Source organism: Homo sapiens, chromosome 4 (genome assembly GCF_000001405.40).
Source record: "Homo sapiens chromosome 4, GRCh38.p14 Primary Assembly".
NCBI classification, from domain to species: domain Eukaryota; kingdom Metazoa; phylum Chordata; class Mammalia; order Primates; family Hominidae; genus Homo; species Homo sapiens.
In genome coordinates, this window is record NC_000004.12 from 2,303,957 (window position 1) to 2,326,132 (window position 22,176).

The 22,176-nt window shown below is 47.3% G+C and overlaps 1 protein-coding gene and 2 pseudogenes across 3 annotated transcripts in view, besides 2 other annotated features; 1 reads left to right on the plus strand and 2 right to left on the minus strand.

Annotated features, from left to right (window-relative positions):
* Positions 1 to 22,176, minus strand: part of ZFYVE28 (zinc finger FYVE-type containing 28) — a 149,049-nt gene that overhangs the window by 34,360 nt on the left and 92,513 nt on the right. For all 3 annotated transcript variants that reach the window (NM_001172656.2, NM_020972.3, NM_001172659.2), the window contains 2 exons: positions 16,214 to 16,315; positions 333 to 1,580 (listed from right to left, as the gene is read on the minus strand). In NM_001172656.2, coding sequence (NP_001166127.1) covers positions 333 to 1,580; positions 16,214 to 16,315 — 1,350 coding nt within the window. The remainder of the gene's footprint in view (positions 1 to 332; positions 1,581 to 16,213; positions 16,316 to 22,176) is intronic.
* RN7SL589P (RNA, 7SL, cytoplasmic 589, pseudogene) lies at positions 12,241 to 12,550 on the minus strand (annotated as a pseudogene).
* Positions 16,246 to 16,540: a silencer, noted in NCBI's record as "tiled region #1470; HepG2 Repressive non-DNase unmatched - State 21:Repr". NCBI's record gives its function as "represses a minimal TATA promoter and a strong SV40 promoter by Sharpr-MPRA in HepG2 cells {active_cell/tissue: HepG2}" and the evidence as "EXISTENCE:reporter gene assay evidence [ECO:0000049][PMID:27701403]".
* Positions 17,948 to 18,447: an enhancer, noted in NCBI's record as "H3K4me1 hESC enhancer chr4:2323631-2324130 (GRCh37/hg19 assembly coordinates)". NCBI's record gives its function as "activates a minimal SCP1, AML or CMV promoter by ChIP-STARR-seq in naive H9 embryonic stem cells {active_cell/tissue: H9 hESC(naive)}" and the evidence as "EXISTENCE:reporter gene assay evidence [ECO:0000049][PMID:30033119]".
* Positions 20,512 to 21,130, plus strand: SPICP5 (Spi-C transcription factor pseudogene 5; annotated as a pseudogene).

The following is a 22,176-nucleotide window of genomic DNA, read 5'->3' on the forward strand; positions in this document are numbered from 1 at the left end:
GGGGCGGGATGGGCCGGGGCTGCGGCAGGTGAGCTGAGGGCTTGGCACTGCGCCCATGTCACCTGACAGGCACCCGGAACATCAGAAACAGGGAAGCGGGCCCGCTGGCGCACATTTTCTGGTGCATGACGCCCCACAGGGCAGGTGCCTCTGCAGCCAGCTCCTGCCCCTGCCCCTCCTCACACACAGACCCCACACTCGGCCAGGGCCCAGCACCTGCCGGTGGCCAAGATGGCTCAGGTAGAAACACTGCAATGCTTGGAGAATGCGCCAGCACCTGCCCCCCAGTGCAGAGAGGACAAACCCAGTCTCTGGGCCAGACTGGCTCTTACCTGGAGCCCGACAGGGCCTGAGGCGCCTCGTGAGCCGAGGGGCTCCCAGCATGCAGCTCTCTGGCCTCTGGCTCCTGCTGACCTGCAACCCCAGCCTCTCCTTGCAGCCCACTCGCTGTGTCCACCTGGGAACCTGAGGTGTGAGGCAGGCACTTGTCGGAAGTGGGGGCTTTGGGCTCCCGCCCGTTGGAGGCATCTTCTGAGGGTGGGGGCGCCTCCTCCTGTCTCTCAGGGGCCCTGTCGCTGGCCTTGGCTAAGCCGGCAGCGTACGAGGCACCAATGACGCCTCCCGGGCTGCACTTCTCCCGCAGACGCTCCACCACGTCCTCCCTGCTGTCCCCGCAGCTCCCACAGCACACGCAGGAATGCAGAAGGCAGTTGGTGGCCCCAGTGCTAAGCTTGTGGGGGCCGCCATCCATCCCCTCGGCCACGGGCTCCGAGGCGGCCTCCTGGGTGGCGACCGCAGAGTCCAGGGAAGTGGGCGATTTGGGGTTGAAGATGACCGTGGCTGAGAGCTTCATGCCCCCTGTCCGGTGGGCGATCATCTCAGCCGTCTCTGCGTCATCCGCACCCACCTCCCAGCCGTCCAGGTGCAGCCGCGAGTCCAGGCAGCTGCAGGAGCTGGTGCCCGCGAGGCTGGCCCCATCTGTGCCCTCGGCCTCGAGATTGTTGTTGCTCAAGTCCTCCTCCTTTTCCGAGGCGGGCAAGCTGATCCCCGCCGCTCCGCCTGGCCCACCCTGCCCTTTCTCCTGGGGGTCGGCCCAGGTACTGCCTGCCCACCCAAATGGGCCAGCTGGGGACTCGGGCCTGGCCAGGGCTTCTGCCGTCCCCTCCACGTCATCCATGAAGAACACGCGCTCCTCCTCGTCACTGCCTGACCGCAGGCGCGGTCTACCTGGAGAGGCCTCCCCGCCTGGGCTGCCCTCCGCTCCTGGCCTGTGAGCTGGGGACTGGCAGGCAATGGGCGGTGAAAGCAAAGAGGACATCTCGTCCCCCGCCCTGTGGACCATGCGGCTGAGCTGCTCCAGCTCCTGGTCGTCGTACTGCATGGAGCAGGCCAGCTCTGCATCCGGGTCTTTGGCCTTAGCTGAGAGTGGCCCCTCAGGGGGGAGAGGGGCAGAGAGGGCAGGCGCCAGGGCAGCGGGTCCCTGCACGTCTGCGCGGATGGGGAACTCCACGTCTTGGGAAATGCAGAGGTTCCGTTCCAGCGTGTGCAGCTCCTCCTCCGTCAGCGTCTGCAGCAAATCCCTACGAATCAAGACAAAACCCAAGGGTGAGGGTCCCAAAAGCCACACCAGCCTCCTTGGCCAGGAGTGGACGCAGCACCCTGGAGTCTGCACCAGCAGAACAACAGCCAGGCACTGAATGCTTGCAACTGAATTCTCAAGGCACCAGCACGTCTCCTCCACCACGGAACAAGGCTCCGGTCTCGCCGGCCAGGACAACGGTGTTCAAGGTGGCCGGCTGGGATTCTAGTACAGTTTCTTTTTTAAAACAAGATTCTGGAAACTTTTGCTGAAAAGAAGAAAGCCCTAATTGTTAGGCATGTGTTAGCTGCATGAATAAAAACTCTAAGGAGTGAAAAAATACATGCTGGTTTACACATAAACCTTCATCCTTTCATTCCACAAATACCATTGGGCACTGGCTATGCAGCAGGAGCTGGGTACCAGGACACGAGGAAGAAGGCAGGCATGCTCCTGCCCTTGTGGACTTAGCCTGCAGTTGGGTGAGGCAGATGATAAACAAGCATTTATACAAACAATGACTGAACTACAATAATGACAGCTGCAACCAAAGACAATGCAAGCCATGAAGGAGGGTGCAGCAGGGCACCTGGCTGAGGCCGGGAAGGCTTCCTGGAGGAAGAAGCATTGAGGCCGAGACCCAAAGGTGCAGTTAATTCAGTGATGCTGAGCAGGAAGCTCCTGGAGCAGGCTCCTACAGGCCGACTGTGGGCTGCTCTCTGCTGCGAGAAGCTCCGGGTGTGTCTGTGGTCTGAGTCCCACATGGGACATTCCAGCACAGCCATGGCTATTGTGAGGAAGTGCGCTTTGCAGAGCTGGGCAGAACTTTCATAAGCTGAATCCACCCATGTGAATAGCACCCAGATTTAGAAGTGAAACCCCAACCAGGCCCCCGGCACCCTGGCTCTCGCATGACACCATCCTGACTCCATAGGCCGAGGCACGCACCTGCTCTGCTTCTCTGAGGAAATGGGAATTCTCAGTCTACACTCTCTTGTGGCAGGATTTGTTTGCTGATGTTATATTTGTGTAGAATCTCCAGATAAAATATAGGACACCCAGTTAAATTTCAATTTCAGATAAACAACAAATAAGTACTTTTAAAATGTCATTAGAAATAGTTGTAAGTGTACTCCAAATGCTGCCCATTTGGGACATGCACTAAAAAGAGTTTTTTGTTTATCTGAAATTCTAACTGAACTGGGCTTTCTGCTGTTGTATTACTAGATCTGGCAACGCTATTTCGTAAGATTCACCCATCATAAAGCACGTTGCCATAGGTCATTCATTCTTGTGGCTGCACCGTCTTCCATGGGGTAAATATACGTAGTTCCTTTATCTGTTACACCCGACAGGTTTTGGCTGCTGTGACCCAGCATCTTCGTGTATCTCTCTTGAAGAACATACGAGGGCATTTCTGCTGAATGCACACATGGGGTGGGACTGCTGAGCCTGACAGAGGGGAGCAGCCGGGATCCAGGCACACCTGCCCACAGCTTGGCTGACAGCATGGCTTGCCCCAGGCCCTCGAGAGCACTACTGTCTTTAACTGAATCCTTCCTGGTGAGTGAGTAATAGTATCTTATCTTATTATGGCTTTCCATTGTTTTAGCCTGATGACCAATGAAGTCGGTCACAGTTTACTTATCAGCCCTTAGATTTTCTCTATGTAAAGTTCCTGTTCAAGCTTTTTGCCCATTACTAATTGGGTTGTCTGCCTTTTTCTTATTGATTGAGTTCTTTATATATTTTGGATTTGAGTTCTTTATTAGATATATTCTCCAACTCTTTGGCTTGCCTTTTCATTCTCTTAATGGTGCTTTTGAGGAAGTTTTAAATTTTAATAAAGTCCAATTATAACATTTTTTCTTTATGATTAGTGCTTTGTGTCCTGTTTAAGAAATCTCTTCCCACTCTGTGGTCACAAAGATGTTCTCCTTGATATTTTCCTCTAAAAGCTTTTTATTATTTTTTAAGTCATGGTCTTGCTCTGTGGCCCAAATCTGGGATGATCATGGCCCACTGGAGACTCAAACTCCTCAGCTCAAATTATTCTTCTGCCTCAGCCTCCTGAGCAGCTGGTACTACAGGTGCAGACCACCGTATCTGGCTAATTATTTTTAATTAAAAAAATTTTTTTTAGAGACAGGGTCTCACTATGTTGCCCAGGCTGGTCTTGAACTCCTGGCCTCAAGTGATCCTCCCGCCTTGGCCTCCCAAAGTGCTGGGATTACGGCATGAGCCACCATGCCTGGATTTTATTGTTTTACTTTTTATATTTATATCTACACTCTGTCTGGAGTTGATTTTTGTGTACAGTAGTGGTAAGAACCCAGACACTAATAGATAACCATATGAGACATTTTTCCTCATGTGGTCTTCTATTGACTCAGCCCATTTATTGGAAAGAAAAACAACCATTCCCGCTGTTCTGTAATGTCACGTTGCCTTAAATCAGAGACCTATATATGCATTGGTCTGTTCTAGACTTTCTGTTCTATTGAATGGGTCTCAAGTCCATCCTTGTACCATATCTGTCAGGATTACTATAGCTTTACAATAGAAGATGTCTCCAATTTTCTTCTTCTTCTTCTTCTTCTAAGAAATGGGGTCTTGTTCTGTCACCCAGGCTGGAGTTCAGTGATGTAAACACAGCTCACCGTAGCCTCGACCTCCTGGGCTCAAGAGCTCCTCCCACCTCAGCCTCCCAAAGTGTTGGGATTATAGGCATAAGCCACTGTGCCTGGCCTTTGTTCTTTTTTTATGAAGTACACACAGCAGAAAAGCATACATATGTTCACCTGGAGACACACACAGGGGTAGTCACAGCAGCACTATTTGTGGAAACTACCCAAAGCCCATTGAGAGTAGAACAGACAACGTTCTGCTGCTGCTTGGCTATTCCAGGCCCCTTGCATCTCCACATGCATTTTAGTATTAGTTTATCAATTTCTACAAGGAAGGAAGGAAGGGAGGGAGGGAGGGAGGGGAGGGGAGGGGGAGGAGAGAATGCAGAAAGAAAGAGAAAGGAAAGAAGGAAAGCAAGAAAGGAAGGAAGGAGAGACAGAGAGAGAGAAAGAAAGAAAGAAGACAGAAAGAAAGAAAGAAAGAAAGAAAGAAAGAAAGAAAGAAAGAAAGAAAGAGAAAGAAAGAAAAGAAAAGAAAAGAAAAAAGAAAAGAAAAGAAAGAAAAAAGAAAAGAAAGGAAGGAAGGAAAGAAAAGAGAGAAAGAGGGAGGGAGGAAGGAAGGAAGCTAGCTAGCTTCTGGGATTTTGATTGAGACTGCATTGAACTCATAGATTAATTTGAGACCAACTGATATCTTCATAACATCAGGGGTTCCTCTCTCTGAATGGAATTGCTGTCCAGGGCTTTAAAAATTTATGGTAATAACATTTTATAACTTTCAATGGAGGTCTTGGACATCGTTAATTTGATTTATGCTTACGTATTTGATATTTACTGGCACTACCATAGGTGGTATTTGCTATGGTTTAGGGGTGGTTTGTCCCCATCAAAACTCAGGTTGAAATTTAGTTCCCAATGTGGTGGTGTTTAGAGGTGGTGTCTTTAAGAGGTGATTAGGTCATTAAGGAGATTAATGCATTTCTCATGAGACCAAATTAGTTACCACAAGAGTGGGTTGTCATGAAGTGAGGTTGCCTCTTGTGTTTGGCCTCTTTGCACACGCCCCCTTCCCCTCCTGCTTCTCTGCCACGTTATGACAGAGCACGAGGTCCGCACAAGAAATTAACCAGATGCAGCCACTTGATCTTGGACCTCCCAACCTCCAGAATCATGAGCTAAACGAACCTCCTTGCTTTATAAATTACTGAGTCTTAGGTATTCTGTGATAGCAACACAAAATTGACTAAGACAGTATTTTGATTTCATTTCGCATTTATTTATTGCTGGCATACAGAAAGACCACTTATTTTTGTATATTGATGTTTCACCTAGTGACCTTGCTAAATCTACTTATTATTTCTAATAGTTTGAAGATGCTCCTGAGTTTCCTAGGTACTTGATCACGTTATCTACATAAAATGGCAGTTTTAGTCCTTCATTTCCAATGCTGTGTAACTTCCTAATTTTCCTTCTATTTTTGCCTTATTGCACTTGCTGGGCCAGAAAACAATGTTAAATGGAGATAGTGAATAGTAGACATCTTCTTCCCAATCTCAGGGAAGTGTGCTGCAGTACACACACAACAGACAACACACACACAGAGATACGCACGGACGAAATCTGTTTCTATATCTATCTGTGACCAGGTTAAGGAAATTCCCTCCTATTCCTAGTTTGCTAAGAGATGCTTTTCTTGTTCTGTTTTGTTTATTGCTAAGAGATGTTTTCACCATAAAATTGGTGTGAAATTTTTTCAAATGCTTTTCTTGAATCTTTCAAAATTATATGATTTTTCTTCCAATTTTTAAAATTAATGTGGCAAAACATCAATTTGATTTCCATATGTTAAGCCAGTCTTGCATATCTGGAATACATTTCTTTTTTTTTTAATTTTGAGATAATGTCTTGCGCTGTCACCCAGGCTGGAGTGCAGTGGCCTGATCACAGCTCACTGCAGCCTCTGCCTCCCTGGCTCAAGCAGTCATCCCATCTCAGCCTCCCAAGTAGCTGTCAGTACAGATGTGTACCACCATGCTCAACTAATTTGTAAATTTTTTGTAGAGATCAGGTCTTACTATATTGCCCAGGTTGGTCCCAAACTCCTGGGCTCAAGCGATCCTCCTGCCTCAGCCTTCCAAAGTCCTGGGATTACAAGTGTGAGCCACTGTGCCCAGATATATTTCTCTTGGTCATGATATATCTTATTTATATATGGTTGATTTTCATTTGTCTGTATCTTTTTAAGGGTATTTGCATCTATGTTCATGAGAGATTGGTGTAGTTTTTGTTTCTTGTAATATCTTGGTCAGGTTTAAATGTCTAGATTATACTCTTATTGAAAAACAAAAAAAAGAGTTAGGGCTGGGTATGGTGGCTCATGCCTGTAATCACAGCATTTTGGGAGGCCAAGGCAGTCAGATTGCTTGAGCCCAGGAGTTTGAGACCAGCTGGGGCAACACAGTAAAACCCTGTCTCTACAAAAAATACAAAAATTAGTTGGGCATGGTGGTGCATGCCTGTGGTCTCAGCTACTCAGGAGGCTGAGGTGGGAGGATCGCTTGAGCCTGGGAGGCAGAGATTGCAGTGAGTCTAGATTGTGCCACCACACTCCAGCCTGCATGACAAAGTGAGAGTTTGTTCAATAATTATAAAAAAAGTTAGAAAATGTCTTTTTTTCTATTCCCTGAAAGAATTTATATAAGATTTGTGTTATTTCTTCTTTAAATGTTTAGAAGAATACATAAGGAAAGCCATCTGTGTCTGATGTTTTCTCTGTGGGAAGGTTTTAAAATAATGAATTCAACTTCTTTAATAGATATTGGATTAAAAGGTTTTCTATTTCTTCTTCTGTTAGCTTTGATTAATTGCTTTTTTGAGGAATTTGTCCAATGCAAATTGTCAAATTTAGTGATATAAAGTTGTTTATAATATCCTCATATCATTTTAATATCTGTAAGGTCTGTGGTGATGTCTCCTTTCCATCTATATTATTAGTAATTTATGTTTTATCTTTTTTCTCTTGAACTAGTCCAGCTTGGAATTTATCAATTTTATTAATCTTTTAAAATAACTAACTTTTGGGGCCTGGCATGATGGCTCACGCTTATAATCCCAGCACTTTGGGAGGCCAAGGTGGGCAGATCACAAGGTCAGGAGTTCGAGACCAGCCTGGCCAACACAGTGAAACCCTGTCTTTACTAAAAGTACAAAAAAATTAGCTGGGTGTGGTGGCAGGCATCTGTAATTCCAGCTACTTGGGAGGCTGAGGCAGAAGAATTGTTTAAACCTGGGAGGCAGAGGCTGCAGTGAGCCGAGATCGCACCACTGTACTCCAGCCTGGGTGACAGAGCTAGACTCTGCCTCAAACAAACAAAAAACCTAACTTTTGGGTTTGTCTTTCCCCTACTATACATTTGTTTTGCATTTCATTGACATCTGTTCTTATTTTTATTATTTCTTTTCTCCTGCTTTCTTGAGGTATGATAAACTTATTATTTCCTAGCTTCTTTAGACAAAATTTTATATAATTGAATTTCATCCTTTATTCTGTTCTAATTTATAGCATTTAGTGCTATAAATTTCCTTCAAAACACTGCTTAGGCCTCATCTTAATTTTCCTTTTTGTTTTTTTAGAAATGAGGTCTTACTCTGTTGCTCAGACTGGAATACAGTGACAGGATCATAGCTCACTGCACCCTCAAACTCCTGGGTTCAAGCAATCCTCCTACCTCAGCCTCCCAAGTAGCTGGGACTATAGGCGTGTGCCATGATGCCCAACTAAGTTTTTTATTGTTGTTTTAATATGTTAAAGAAAATTAAAGGGGGCAAATTAGATAAGAGGATGAAGAATTTAAACAGATAATTGGAATCAATACAAAAAGAAACAGCCAAGTGTGGTGGCTCACACCTGTAGTCCTAGCTACTCAGGAGGCTGAGGTGGGAGAATTGCCTCACTCAGGCTGGTCTCGAACTCCTGGGCTCAAGTGATCCTCCCACCTCAGCCTCCCAAAATGCTGAGATTACAGGAATGAGCCATTGGGCCTGGCCACATGGATATATCATATCTCTATTATCATGTAGTTAAAACTATTTTTAAATTTTGGCCAGGCACAGTGGCTCATGCCCAACAGTTTGGAAGGCCAAGGCAGGCAGATGGCTCGAGCACAGGAGTTCAAAACCAGCCTGGGCAACATAGTGTGATCCCATCTATATTACAAAAGAAAAAAAAAGAAAAATTTCCATTGACTTCTGCAATGAACAAGGAATTATTTAGAAGTGTTTTGGGGCCGGGCGCGGTGGCTCACGCCTGTAATCATAGCACTTTGGGAGGCCGAGGCAGGTGGATCACGAGGTCAGGAGATTGAGACCATCCCGGCTAACATGGTGAAACCCCGTCACTACTAAAAATACAAAAAATTAGCCGGGTGTGGTGGCGGGCGCCTGTAGTCCCAGCTACTCGGGAGGCTGAGGCAGGAGAATGGCATGAACCCAGGAGGCGGAGCTTGCAGTGAGCGAGATCGCGCCACTGCGCTCCAGCCTGGGCGACAGAGCGAGACTCTGCCTCAAAAAAAAAAAAAAAAAAAAAAAAAGAAGTGTTTTGGGCCAGGTACAGTGGCTCACACCTATAATCCCGGCACTTTGGGAGGCCAAGGCGGGCAGATCACTTGAGACCAGGAGTTCGAGACCAGCCTGGCCAACATGGTGAAACCCCGTTTCTACTAAAGATACAAAAATTAGCCAGGCATGGAGGCGCATGCCTATGGTTCTAGCTACTCAGGAGGCTGAGGCACGAGAATCGCTTGAACTCAGGAAGCGGAGGTTGCAGTGAGCCAAGATCATGCGAACTGCACTCCAGCCTGGGTGACAGAGTAAGACTCTGTCTCAAATAAATAAATAAATAGAAGTGTTTTGCCTAATTTATCATGTAATTGGGGATTTTTCCAGGTTTTTCCAGGTTTTTTTTTTTTTTTGATACCTGGCTCACTAAAGTCAGAGTACATATTATGAATACTTTCTGTCTTTGAGGTTCACTGTGGGTTTCTTTACGGTCTGTCATATAATCAATTCTGATAAATGGTCCACATGCTTTTTTTTTTAATTAATTAATTTATTTATTTAGATAGGGTCTGGCTGTGTGGTGCAGGCTGGAGTGCAGTGGGATGACCTTAGCTCATTGCAACTTCTGCCTCCTGGGCTCAAGCCATCCTCCTACCTCAGCCTCCCAAGTAGCTGGGACCACAGATATGTGCCACCACACCCATTTTTTTACATTTTTTGTAGAGACAGTGTTTCGTCATGTTGCCTGGGCTGGTCTCAAACTCCTGGGCTCAAACAATCCATCCACCTGGGCCTCCCAAAGTGCTGGGACTACAGGTATGAACCACTGCACTCAGCCTCCACATACTTTTAAGAAGAACATAAGGGTGGGCCCGGTGGCTCATGTGTGTAATCCCAGCACTTCGGGAGGCCGAGGTGAGTGGATCATTTGAGGTCAGGAGTTCAGGACCAGCCTGGCCAAAATGGTGAAACCCAGTCTGTACTGAAAATACAAAAATTAGCCAGGCAGTAGTGGCACGTGCCTGTAATCAGGAGAATTGCTTGAGCCTGGGTTGCAATTCAGAGGTTGCAATGAGCCGAGATCGCACCACTGCACTCCAGCCTGGGCGACAGAGTGAGACTCTGTCTCAAAAAAAAAAAAAAAAAAAGAACGTGAATTCTGGCAATTGTTGGATGTAACTTACACATGTAAGTCAGGTCAAGTTTATTAGTTTTGTTATTGAGATTTCTTACATTCTCAAGGGTTTTCCTGTTAGTTCCATCAGTTATAGAGAGGTAAATTAAAGTATCCTGCTGGTTTTGGATTTGTCTATTCCACCTTATATTTCTGTTATTTGCTTTACATAAGTTTTACAGCTATGTTATTCAGCCCATATATACAGATTTGGGATTGTGACATCTTCCTACTGAATTGCCTGTTTATCAGCATGAAATATTTCTCTTTATCTGTAGTAATCTTTCTTGCCTTAAAGTTTACTTTGATAAATATAACTACAACAACTTTCTTTGGGTGGTGTCTGCATGGTTTATGTTGTCTATTTACTCTCAACCTTGTTCACGTACTTGTGTCAGGACTGGGTCTCTCGTCAGCCAAGTACAGCTGTTGTTGCTGCTGTTTCAACCCAGACTGGTAATCTTGGTTTTACACTTAGAATATTTAGTCCATTTGTATTTAATGTAATCACTGATGTGGTTGGGTTTGTATCTTTCATCTTACTATTTTTTTCTATTTGGTCCATTTGTTGTATCTTCTCTTTCTCTGCTCTTACCTTATTTTGGATGTTTTTCCTTCTATGAATTTGCTAGTTATTCATCTTTATTATTTTAGTGTTATCCTAATATTGTAATAGTGATCCTTGACTGATCACATTCTAATATAAATAATTTATTCAATCACATTTCCAGTACAACTTTAAAATTCCATTTACCCCTTTCTGTCTTTTCTGCTACTTGTATATCATGAATTTTAGTACTATGTACAATTTAAACTCCACAGACACTATAATTATTTTGTACAGTTAATATTCACTTATGTTAACCCACATCATGTTCTTCAGTCTCTCTTGCATTACTTTTTTTAAGACAGGGCCTCACTGTCATCCAAGCTGGAGTGCAGTGGCACAATCATAGCTCACTGCAACCTCAAACTCCTGGGCTCAAATGATCCTCCCACCTTAGCCTCCTGAGTAAGATGGAACTACAGGCATGCCACCATGCCCAGCTAATTTTTCTTTTTTTTAACTAGAGAGCCTCACTATGTTGTCCAGGCTGGTCTCAAACTCCTGAGGTCAAGGAATCCTCCTGCCTTGGCCTCCCAAAGTGCTGGGATTACAGGCAGGAGCCACCGCACCTGGCCTCTCTAGCATTTCTACATTTCCATCTGATACAATTTTTTTTTCTGAAGAACTCCAATTAATTGTTTTATGTGCAGGTTGCTGATAACAAATTCCTTCAGTTCTATGTTTTGGAATAATTCATGAAGGCAAAATATCACCTTCATTTTTGAAGGATATTATTGCTGGTTATAAAATGCTGGTTGTCAGCTATTTTCCTTCAGCAGTTTTTTTTGTTTTGTTTTCTTTTTGAAACAGAGTCTCACTCTGTTGCCCAGGCTAGAAAGCGGTGGCGTGATCTCTGCTCACTGCAACTTCCGCCTCCCAGGTTCAAGTGATTCTCGTGTCTCAGCTGGGATTACAGGCGCCCGCCACCACGCCTGGCTGATTTTTGAATTTTTAGTAGAGACGAGGTTTCACCATGTCGGCCAGGCTGGTCTCCAACTCCTGGCTCAAGTGATCCTCCCGCTTCAGCCTCCCAAAGTGCTGGGATCACAGGCGGGAGCCACTGTGCCCAACCTCCTTCGGCAGTTTAAATATACGTTATTTCACTGCTTGTCAGCTTCCATTGTTTCTGTTCATTTGTTGAGAAGACAGCTATCCATCTTATGTTCGTTTCAAAGTAGTATGTCCTTTTTCTCTTGCTGCTTGTCAAATTTTTTGTCTTTGTTTTTGGCAATTTCACTATGATATACCCAGGTATGCTGGTTGGTTTTTTGTTTGTAGTTTTCTTGCTGAATCTGTGGCTAGAGATTTTTGTCTTTTGGAATTTGGGGAAATGTTTAGCCATGACTTCTTTGAATATTACTTCTGCCCCTTCTCTCTTTTCTCTCTTTCTGGGATTCCAATTATGTTTTTTAGGCCTTTTGAGTTTGTTACACGTGTCTCTTATGCTCTATTCTGGTTTTCTATTGTTGTTTCTTGTTGTTTTTCCCCTCTTTTTTCCTGCCCGAGCTTCAGTTTGGGTCTCTTCTATTAAGCTATCCTCAAGCTGACTACTTCTGTGTTCTGCTGGGTCCGATCTGCTATTAAACCCATCTACTGCGTCCTTATTGTCAAATTGTGAATTTTCTTAGCTTTAGAATGTCATTTTTTTCTTCCTTCCTTCCTTTCCTTTTTTTCCTTCCCCTTTCTTTCTTTCTTTAGAGATGGAGTCTTGCTATGTTGTCCTGGCTGGAGTGCAGTGGCTATCACACTGCACTGTAATGGTGCAATCCCACTACTGATCAGCATGGGAGTTTTGACCTACTCCATTTCTGACCTGGGCAGGTTCACCACTCCTTAAGCAACCTGGTGGTTCCCTGCTACAGGAGGTCACCATATTGATGCCAAAGTTTAGTGCAGACACCTGATCAGCATAGCACACTAGGATTTAGAACTCCTGGGCTCAAGTGACCCTCCGGCCTCAGCCTCCTGAGCAGCTGGGACTACAGGTGCATGCCACCACACTTGGTTGTGTCTCTCTGTATAGATTCCAATTCTCTGTTAAATTCTCTATCCTCTTATCTAATTTGCCCCCTTCTATTTTCTTTAACATGTTAATCAGCACTGTGTTCACATTCTTGGGAGTAGTTATCTGGATCATCAGAACTCTGCATCCACTTTCTGGCTCTTCTCTCAACTATCAGATATATTTTCTTGTCTCTCTTTTTTTTTTTGAGATGGAGTCTCGCTCTGTAGCCCAGGCTGGAGTGGAGTGGTGCAATCTCGGCTCACTGCAACCTCTGCCTCCCAGGTTTAGGCAATTCTCCTGCCTCAGCCTCCCAAATAGCTGGGACTACAGGTGCGCACCACCATGCCTGGCTGATTTTTTATATTTTTAGTAGAGATGGGGTTTCACTGTGTTAGCCAGGATGGTCTCGATCTCCTGACCTTGTGGTCCACCCACCTTGGCCTCCTAAAGTGCTGGGATTACAGTATTTTCTTGTTTCTTTAACTTTTTTTTTTTTTTTTTGAGACAGAGTCTCACTCTGTCACCCAGGCTGGAGTACAGTGGCACGATCTTGGTTCACTGCAACCTCCACCTCCTGGGTTCAAGCGATTCTCTGGTCTCAGCCTCCCAAGTAGCTGGGATTACAGGAATGCACCACCATGTCTGGCTAATTTTTGTATTCTTGTAGAGATGGGGTTTTGCCATGTTGGCTGGGCTGGTCTCAAACTCCTGACCTCAGGTGATCCGCCCACCTTGGCCTCCCAAAGTGCTGGGATTACAGGAGTGAGCCACTGTGCCCGGCCAACATTTTAAGCAATTTTGGATTATATGACAGACATTGGATATAAAAGAATCATAAAGGTTACAGATGACACCTTTTCCACCAGAGGGGACTACCCCTTTCTCTGTTAGGCTGACCGCATGAGGTCCATTGTTGCATTCCCTTCGGACACGGAGTAGGTTGAGGTTTGGCTGCGCTTAGGCCTGGTTACTGCAGTTCTGAGCCTGCTGCACTCTCTGCCTTCTCAAACCCCAAAGTCTGCAGGAGACCGAGTTCTGTCCTTCCAAGTTCCAGCTCAGCCTCCAGCCACATGCAACTTCAAAATCTGGCAAACGTCTCTAGCAGTGTGCTCACGGCATGCTTTTTGTTTGATTGTTTTTTTTTTGAGACAGAGTCTTGCTCTGTCGCCCAGGCTGGAATTTAGTGGCGCAATCTCAGCTCACTGCAAATTCCGCCTCCCAGATTCAAATGATTCTCCTGATTCAGCCTCCCAAATAGCTGGGATTACAGGCGTCCGCCACCACGCCCAGCTAATTTTTATATTTTTAGTAGAGACAGGGTTTCACCATGTTGGCCAGGCTGGTCTCAAACTCCTGACCTCAGGTGATCCATCCGCCTGGGCCTCCCAAGGTGCCTGGATTACAGGCATGAGCCACCGCGCCGGCCTCAAGGCATGCTTTTGTTCCTAAGCACCTGGAAACTGCAGGAAGCCTGTTGTCAGGGGGCTTTCTGCCTGGATTTCCTGCTTCCCCAGGACTGGCAGGCGTGCTGCTTGAATGCCCCCAAGCTGCCAGCCTGTTTCACCAGCCCTTGATTAGATGTTCTTTCCCCAGCAGAGCTTCTCTGCCTGGGAAGCCTGGGCCCTGGACAAGCCTGGAATCATCAAATCTTCCCTGGGGAAGAACAGCCAAGTAGACTGCAGCTCACCTCCAAAGGCTCCCTTCCCCAGGCTCTTAGTTCACCCAGTCCTTACTTCCACAGTTCAGGTACCTTTAAAAGCAGGATCTTTTGGCTGGTCGCAGTGGCTCACGCCTGTAATCCCAGCACTTTGGGAGGCCGAGGCGGGCGGATCACCTGAGGTCAGGAGTTCAAGACCAGCCTGACCAGCATGGTGAAACCCCGTCTCTACTAAAAATATAAAAATTAGCCGGGCATGGTGGCGTACACCCGTAATCCCAGCTACTCAGGAGGCTGAGGCAGGAGAATCTCTTGAACTTGGAGGCGGAGACTGCAGTGAGCTGAGATCACACCACTACACGTGGACAGTAACGGATAAGTCCTCAAACCCTGACGCTGGAGGAGATGCAGGCTCATCTGTGGATTCTCACTGTTTTCCCTGGGTGGGCGGGGGGCACAAGCAGCAGTTCCATCGGGGCGGCAGGGCCAGCCTGTGGGTGCACACCTGGGTCCCCGCTGCCTTACCCATGGGTGAGGTTCCCACATCAGGGCCCCTGGGTGGGCAGCAGAGGCACGTTCCACCCACACAGCTTTCTGCAAGGTGAGGTGACTCATACCTGTAATCCCAACCCTTTGGAAGACCGAGGCCGGAGGAAAGCTTAAGCCTAGGAGTTCAAGACCAGCCTGGGCCACATGGCGAGACCCCATCTTTACAAGAAAATTGTTTTTAATTAGCTGGGCATGGTGGTCCACCTGTAATCCTAGCATTAATCCCTCGACAGCATTCTGCCTCCAGCCCGTTCAGCTTCATCCTCCTCTCCATCACCCATGCAGGCCAAGGGCAGATATGCTCCCAGGACGTCCACTCCACTCCTGTGTGGCCGGTGCCCCCTTCCAGCCCCACACCGCCCAGGAGGCTCCTTCTCCAGCCACGGCCCGGCACCTGCGCCACCTTTCCTGTAAGACCCCCATATGTGGGGCAGGGGGTGCATGTGCCTTCCTGGTGTAGGTGGCATCTGTCTCCTCTCCTCACTGTGGTCTCCTCCACGTCACCCAAGGAAGGATGAGACTGCAACCTCCAGGTCCAGGGCTCACATCCCCCCAAGCAGGAGGAAAGCAGCGACAGCCATCTCCCAGATGAAACATGGACTGAACCAAGCACCCCTGCCCCTGAACCCACTGACGCCAAGGACCACCTGCCAAGGCCCCAAGAGCTCACAACCCCATCTGCAAGGGTGACGAGGACCCCATAGCCCACGGGGTCACTTTTCACTGTCTGGACTCACAGCACCTCTGGCCCTCATGGGGCAGAGTTCTAGGCTTCTGGGTCCCCGAAGGAAACCTGGTTGCAGTGATCAGGGGCCGTGGTAGGAAATACCAAGCTGTCCCAGGCCACAGAGCCAGGGTGGCACATGGAGGACATGTGCCATGGGCTTCACGTGGCCCCCGTCCCTCCAGGAAGCCACGGCTGGGCTCTGTCGGCTCAGGCCACCCAGCAAAGCCCTTGGCCCATATGAAGGAAAGGCGTCGTGTTTTAAAAGGGGGTCTCCCATGTGGACACAGACGTAAACCAGTAACTAAAGACAAAGGGCACAGGTGGAGCACCAAGACTCCAACAGAAGCAAGCGCTTTGGGGACGGTGGGGACGGTGGGGATGGTGGGGATGGTGGGGACGGTGGGGACGGTGGGGATGGTGGGGACAATGGGAATGGTGGGGACAGCAGGACACTTAGCTGTTGCTGTACCATGTCAGGAAGTGTGAGGTTCACTCCCCCAGCTCAGCCCAAGAGAGCGCCCACCCCATGCGATGCCCAGGCAGGGGCAAAAGCCAGGACTCTGTGACCCCCATGGGTCGTTTGTGACCCCTCCCTAGGGAATATTAACCAGCCCATCCTTCCTCACAGAGAGGAGGAGGACCTGGAGGCGGCGGCTAAACATGACTTCAGCGCCCACCTGTGGCCCTCCTGTCCCCCTCCCCTCCCCCACCTCCTCTAGCTCCATCCCCACCTTATTTTCCGCAGCAACGTGTGGAAGGGCCGGAACAGCTCGGACATGTCTTCCACCTTGCGGTCCAAGTTCAGAGGTCCGTCCGCATAGACCACGAGGCCACTGCATTTGAGACACAAAAGCCAGGATGTCAGGCCCTGTGGCCCCCTGGGTGCCGCGGACGGCCCAACTTAACCACCTGCGAAAACCACGCCCGCTGGGACTCTGCAGCGCCACTGTCCCAGCACGGCCGCCGCCTCATGCTTTGCCTTGTGTGATTGCATTGTAAATAAGTTTAGAAAAAAGCAGTGAGAATTATTACCCAGACTTCATCCTCTTTTGCAGTTGATTAGCTTGTGTTCATTGGAGGGGTCATAAAGTAATCAGAAAAGTGTATCTGCACACATCAGTGCTGCAATCAGATAAATTAGCCTCAAGGTTTGTTACCAAAATCTACCTTCTTGCAAGTAATAAAAACTGGATTTGTGGTTAAATTTATCTGCAGAGCTTTATGAGAACTGGACCTGGAACCATCTTCTCCAAAAGCAAAACCAGCTGGAGGTGCGAGCTGAGGCCCGCACGGGTTCCCTTCCTGCAGCCTGGCCAACGCTCCACAAGCCACGAGACCAAAGCAGCCTCCCCTCATCCCCCACACAGGACCCACCTCCCTTGTGGTGCCCACCATGCCCCGAGAAGCTCCCCTCCCCAGGACTGGGGCCGCATGTGGCTGAGGCCGGCTTTCCTCACTGTCCCTCCCCCAGAGTCCGGCTCAAAGCCTGCTGAAGGACAAGCTTCCCAGATGCCACCTCCAGTGGCACCCACTCCTCTCCACGCACCGTCCAGCCCTGCCAAGCTCCGAGTGTGCCTTGATCATCCATGTCTCAGCCCGTCTCTCCTTGAGGGCACCCATCCCAGAGGACCTTCTCTGGGTGCCTCCTCCTGGGTCTCTTGGGACCAGACCATGTCTCAGGTGCCTGGGGAGCATCCACCCACGAATTCGTCCCCTGTCCCTCATCATATTCTTCCTCATCAGAGCACAGACAAGGGCCATGTGGGCCTGTCTGTGTAAATGGAGCACCACCGGCCTGTCTCTTTCAGCAGACGTGACACCAGGGTTAGGTCCAGCCAACACCGAGTCCCTGGGAGCACAGGGACAGTCTCCTTGTCTAACACACCCAGCTCAGTGAGAAAGGCTGATGAACAGAATTGAACAAAGGGAATGTTTTTCCCTAAAAATCGTTGGGTTTCATGTGCAAAAAGAAGATTTGAAAGTCACAGGAAAAGTATGTGCAGTGCTGCCTCCGGGGCCCCTGTGGAGTGGCCAGCTCAGCTGGGCAGGGGGCTGTGTCTTGACCACCTGTGGGTGAGGGGACAGCACAACCAGCCTTCCATTCTGCTTGGTCTCCTTTGTGGCTCTTACATGAGCTGCCTGTCCTGATTGAACGAACAGTATTCAGGGGACAATTACCCAAATAGAGCCTTAACTTTATGGGTGAATCAGGCAGTCTCAGGACAAAGGCAGAGTGAAACAGAGCAGGGAAGGGGGCAGCCCTGACTCCAGTGGCCAAGCCTCAGGGAAGCCATCCACAACCACAGTAGAGCTCCCTCCCCTGCTGAGCATAGGACTCAGTCCCGCAATGACCTGTGTACCCAACGTCTGCCCCTCTGGAAACCTCGCTCCTGCCTGTGCCGGGCAGCAGCGTGGCCGAGGGAGGACCCAGCTGCCCCCCAGGGCAGTCAGCAGGAGTGGGGGGACAAGGCCCACCCATGAGAGCTGCTGGCCCAGGACCTCAGAAAAGAACTCGTTCATCAGGAGGCTCAGACCCCAAGGCTGCTGCGCCACTTCCTCCTGGGAGCCTGCGGGGACCCAAGACCCCCTGGGCTGTGTCCCCACATCCAGCCGTGTGTTAGCTTTCGCGTGCTGGACGCAGGGCCGTGCACTCCACAGTGGCTGAGCCCTGCTGCTCAGCAGCTCTGCAGGTGCCCGAACGACAGAGAGAAGGCCCGTGGGACAGGAGATCAGGCCCAGGTGCTGAAGTAACGGGGTGTGGGGGCCAGAGGTGGGGAGCGGCCCCCGGGCGGCTGCCAGAGACTCAGCATTTGTCTCTGCACCTGGCCTGGCACTTGCAGGAATCCGGCTGAAGAGGCTCAGAATGAGGCCTGGGAATGAGCTATTGCCAGAAACGGTGGGTCCAATGCAGCCGCTGCCCATGGCTACAGCCCGACAGGCCACCCAGGCCTGCGTCCATGCTGCCATGAGCAGGGGTAAGCAGCACCCACTGGTGAGCCTGGCAGGCTGGATCCTGGGGTCTCGGTGTGGCCAGGGGTGTGGGGGCACTGTGAGGGGCTTGGCCCAGGTCCAGCTAAGGTGAGCAGGAGAGAGGACGCCCCGCACAGTGGAGAAAGCTGGGCCCTGCTGGAAGTGGGGGTGGCCAGTCTTCCCTTTTCTTTTTTCAAATAAATTCATATAACGAACAACTGTTTTAAAGGGTATGATTCTGAGGCATTTTCTGCATTCACGGTGCTGTGCACCCATCACCTCTCTAGTTTCAAAAGGTTTTTATCACCCCAGAAAACACCCTTTTAATAATCACCACTGACTTCCTCACCTCAGCCACTGGCAATCCCTCATCTGCTTTCTGTCTCTATGAATTGGCCTATTCTGGGTGTTTCATATAAATGGAATCACATAATACGTGACCTTTGTGACCGCTTTTCACTTTGCACCACGTTTTCAAGGCTCACCATGCTGTGGCACGTGGCGAATGTTCCCGCGCATACATTTCTTCATTCACCCACGGGTGGAAGTTTGGATTGTTTCTGCCTTTGGGCAATTATGAATAATGCTGCCATAAACATTCGTGTAGAAGTTTGTTCACGGACATATGTTTTCATTTCTCTTGGGTATATGCCTAGAAGGGTATGTGGTATGACCATATGGATCATATAATTCTATGTTTAACTTTTTAAGGAACCACCAACTGTTTTCCGTAGCAGCTGTGGCATTTTACACTCCTGCCAGCAATCCAAGGGTTCTGACTTCTCCACGCTCTCCCCACGTATTCTTTTCCATTTTTTTGATTACAGCCATCCTGGTGGGTGTGAAGTGGCATCTCATCATGGTTTTGACTTGCATTTCCTTAGTAACCAACGATGTGGAGCATCTTTTCATGTGCCTGTTGGCCATGTGTATATCTTCTTAGAAGAAATGTCTATTCAAGTCTTTCCTCATTTTTAAATTGGGTTGTTTGTCGATTTGTTGTTGAGTTGTAAGGGTTCTTTATATGTTCTGGACATTAAATCTTCATCAGATATATGATTTGCAAATATTCTTTAGGTTGTCTTTTCATTTTCTTTATAATGTCCTCTGATGCATCACAATTTTTTTTTCTTATTTATTTTTTATTATTATACTTTAAGTTTTAGGGTACATGTGCACATTGTGCAGGTTAGTTACATATGTATACATGTGCCATGCTGGTGCGCTGCACCCATTAACTCGTCATCTAGCATTAGGTATATCTCCCAATGCTATCCCTCCCCCCTCCCCCCACCCCACAACAGTCCCCAGAGTGTGATGTTCCCCTTCCTGTGTCCATGTGATCTCATTGTTCAATTCCCACCTATGAGTGAGAATATGCGGTGTTTGGTTTTTTGTTCTTAAGATAGTTTACTGAGAATGATGGTTTCCAATTTCATCCATTTCCCTACAAAGGACATGAACTCATCATTTTTTATGGCTGCATAGTATTCCATGGTGTATATGTGCCACATTTTCTTAATCCAGTCTATCATTGTTGGACAATCACAATTTTTAATTTTGATGAAGTCCAGTTTCTCTTTTTATCTTTTTGTGGTGGTGCTTTTGATGTCAAATCCATTGCAAAATCTGAGAACAGGAAGATTTACCCTCTGTATCAAAGTTCTCTAGAGAAACAGAACAAGAGAGCAATATTTATTTTAAGGAATTGTTTCATGCAATTGTGGGGGCTGGAAAGTCCAAATTCTGCTGGGAACCCGGAGAAGAGTTGACACGGCAGCTCCAATCCAAGGAGTCTGGAAGCCGGATTCCCCCTTACTTGCGGATCTCAGTCTATTTCTCTCAGGGCCTTCCATTAATTGGATGAGGCCCACCCACATCACGGAGGGTCGTCAGCTGTACTCAGAGTCTACTGATTTAAATGCTAATCTCATCTTTAAAATACCTCACAGCAGGGTGGTGCTGACGTGCGTTTCAGAGGACAGGGAAGGTTATATCCACATCGTACAGCGGATGCTACACTGGACACGGATGGGTAGAATCATCCATTCAGTGAAGCATGACTTGTGTTGAACAAGACAAGCTGGCTGAAGCATTTGAAGGCGCTTTTGAGGTACTGAGGTAACATTCAACTGATCTTCACTCCTCCCCAGATGACAAAAATTACCTGGCTTTCGTCAGCCACTGTCCTCATGTCAGAGGAAATTCCATCTGCTAAGAAGTGTTGCCCACAGAGGAACCTGTGTATAGCTGGAGAACCATCATAGCAGGAAGAAGCTCTGACCGTTTTAATACCTTCACGAATCCCCACATAATGCTAAGATGGTGTCTTGTATCCAGGAGTAGATAAAACCAAAGATGTCTTTCTGTTTGTATTGAAAAATAAAGAAAAACTTTAGGGAAAAAGAAAAGTCAGCCAGAACCCCATGGCTTACTCAGAAAATTGTCAGGGCCCTGAGGAATTATGGAAGAACTGGAGAAATCACCAAAATCCAGAGGAAGCTGACTTACCAACTTACCAAGGCCATCCTCCAAAGACTCTATCTTATTTATTAGGGAAAGCAATCTTCTACTCACAGTATGTTCAGCCTGATCAAGAATATCTTAGTTTAAATAACTAGAATGCAAATTGTAACTATACATGTGCCAATTACCATGAGTTAAGTCACCCTGATTGCTAAATATACTCTCACGTTTCATGGTTTCCTGGCATCAGAAATCCCTACAAGCTTCAGGATTTTTCTCTTAAAGCAAATGCTGAAGAGAAAAAAAAAATTAACTTTATTATTGTTATCTTTTATCAAATAGCATAGAATCTATACTAACTTGGTGGGAAATCCTGCCAATGAACAAATTTATTGTTGCAAATGACCAAGCCCTATGTGAATGTACAGACTAAATGGCCTTGCTCTTACTATTCTCTATTCAACCACTTTCTTCCAGATTCATACTGCCAGTACAGGCAACTAATAATGATTCAAACATTTTTCTGTCATATACTCAGGTGAAAAATCACTCTAACCTATATCTGCTGGCATTACAAAAAATCATTTACAAAAAACGACTGCATATGATAAAAGCGTTTGTGCAAAAATACATTCATGGCTTCAAAAACTTCAGTGGAAATGTATATTCAGTTCCCTTCTCACATTTTTTTCCTTTTCCCCTTGTCTTTAAATCTTACTTTTTTTTTTTTTTTTTTTGCTTTTAAGAGACAGAGTCTCTTTCCATTGCCCAGACTGTAATTCAATGGCGTGATCATAGCTTACTGCAAACTCGAACTCCTGGGCTCAACTAATCCTCTCGTCTTAGCCTCCGAAGTGGCTGGGACTACAGGCACACACCACCACATCTGGCTTTTTGCTGTTGGGATGAGGTTTCACTATGTTGCTTAAGCTGGACTCAAACTCCTGGCCTCAAGCAATCCTCTTGCCTCGGCATCCCAAAGTGTTAGCATTACAGGTATGAGCCACCATGCCCAGTCTCTTACCCATATTTTTTTTAATGTTTTCTTGCTGTTGAATTTTTTGAGTTCTTTATATATGTTGGATATTAACCCATCAGATGTATGAATTGTAAATATTTTCTCCCAATCCATAGGTTGTCTTTGCACCCTGTTGTTTCTTTTGCTATGCAGAAGCTTTTCAGTTTGATGTAATCCAATTTATCTATATTTGCTTCTCTTACCTGCACTTTGGGGCCAAATCCAAAAAGTCACTACCCA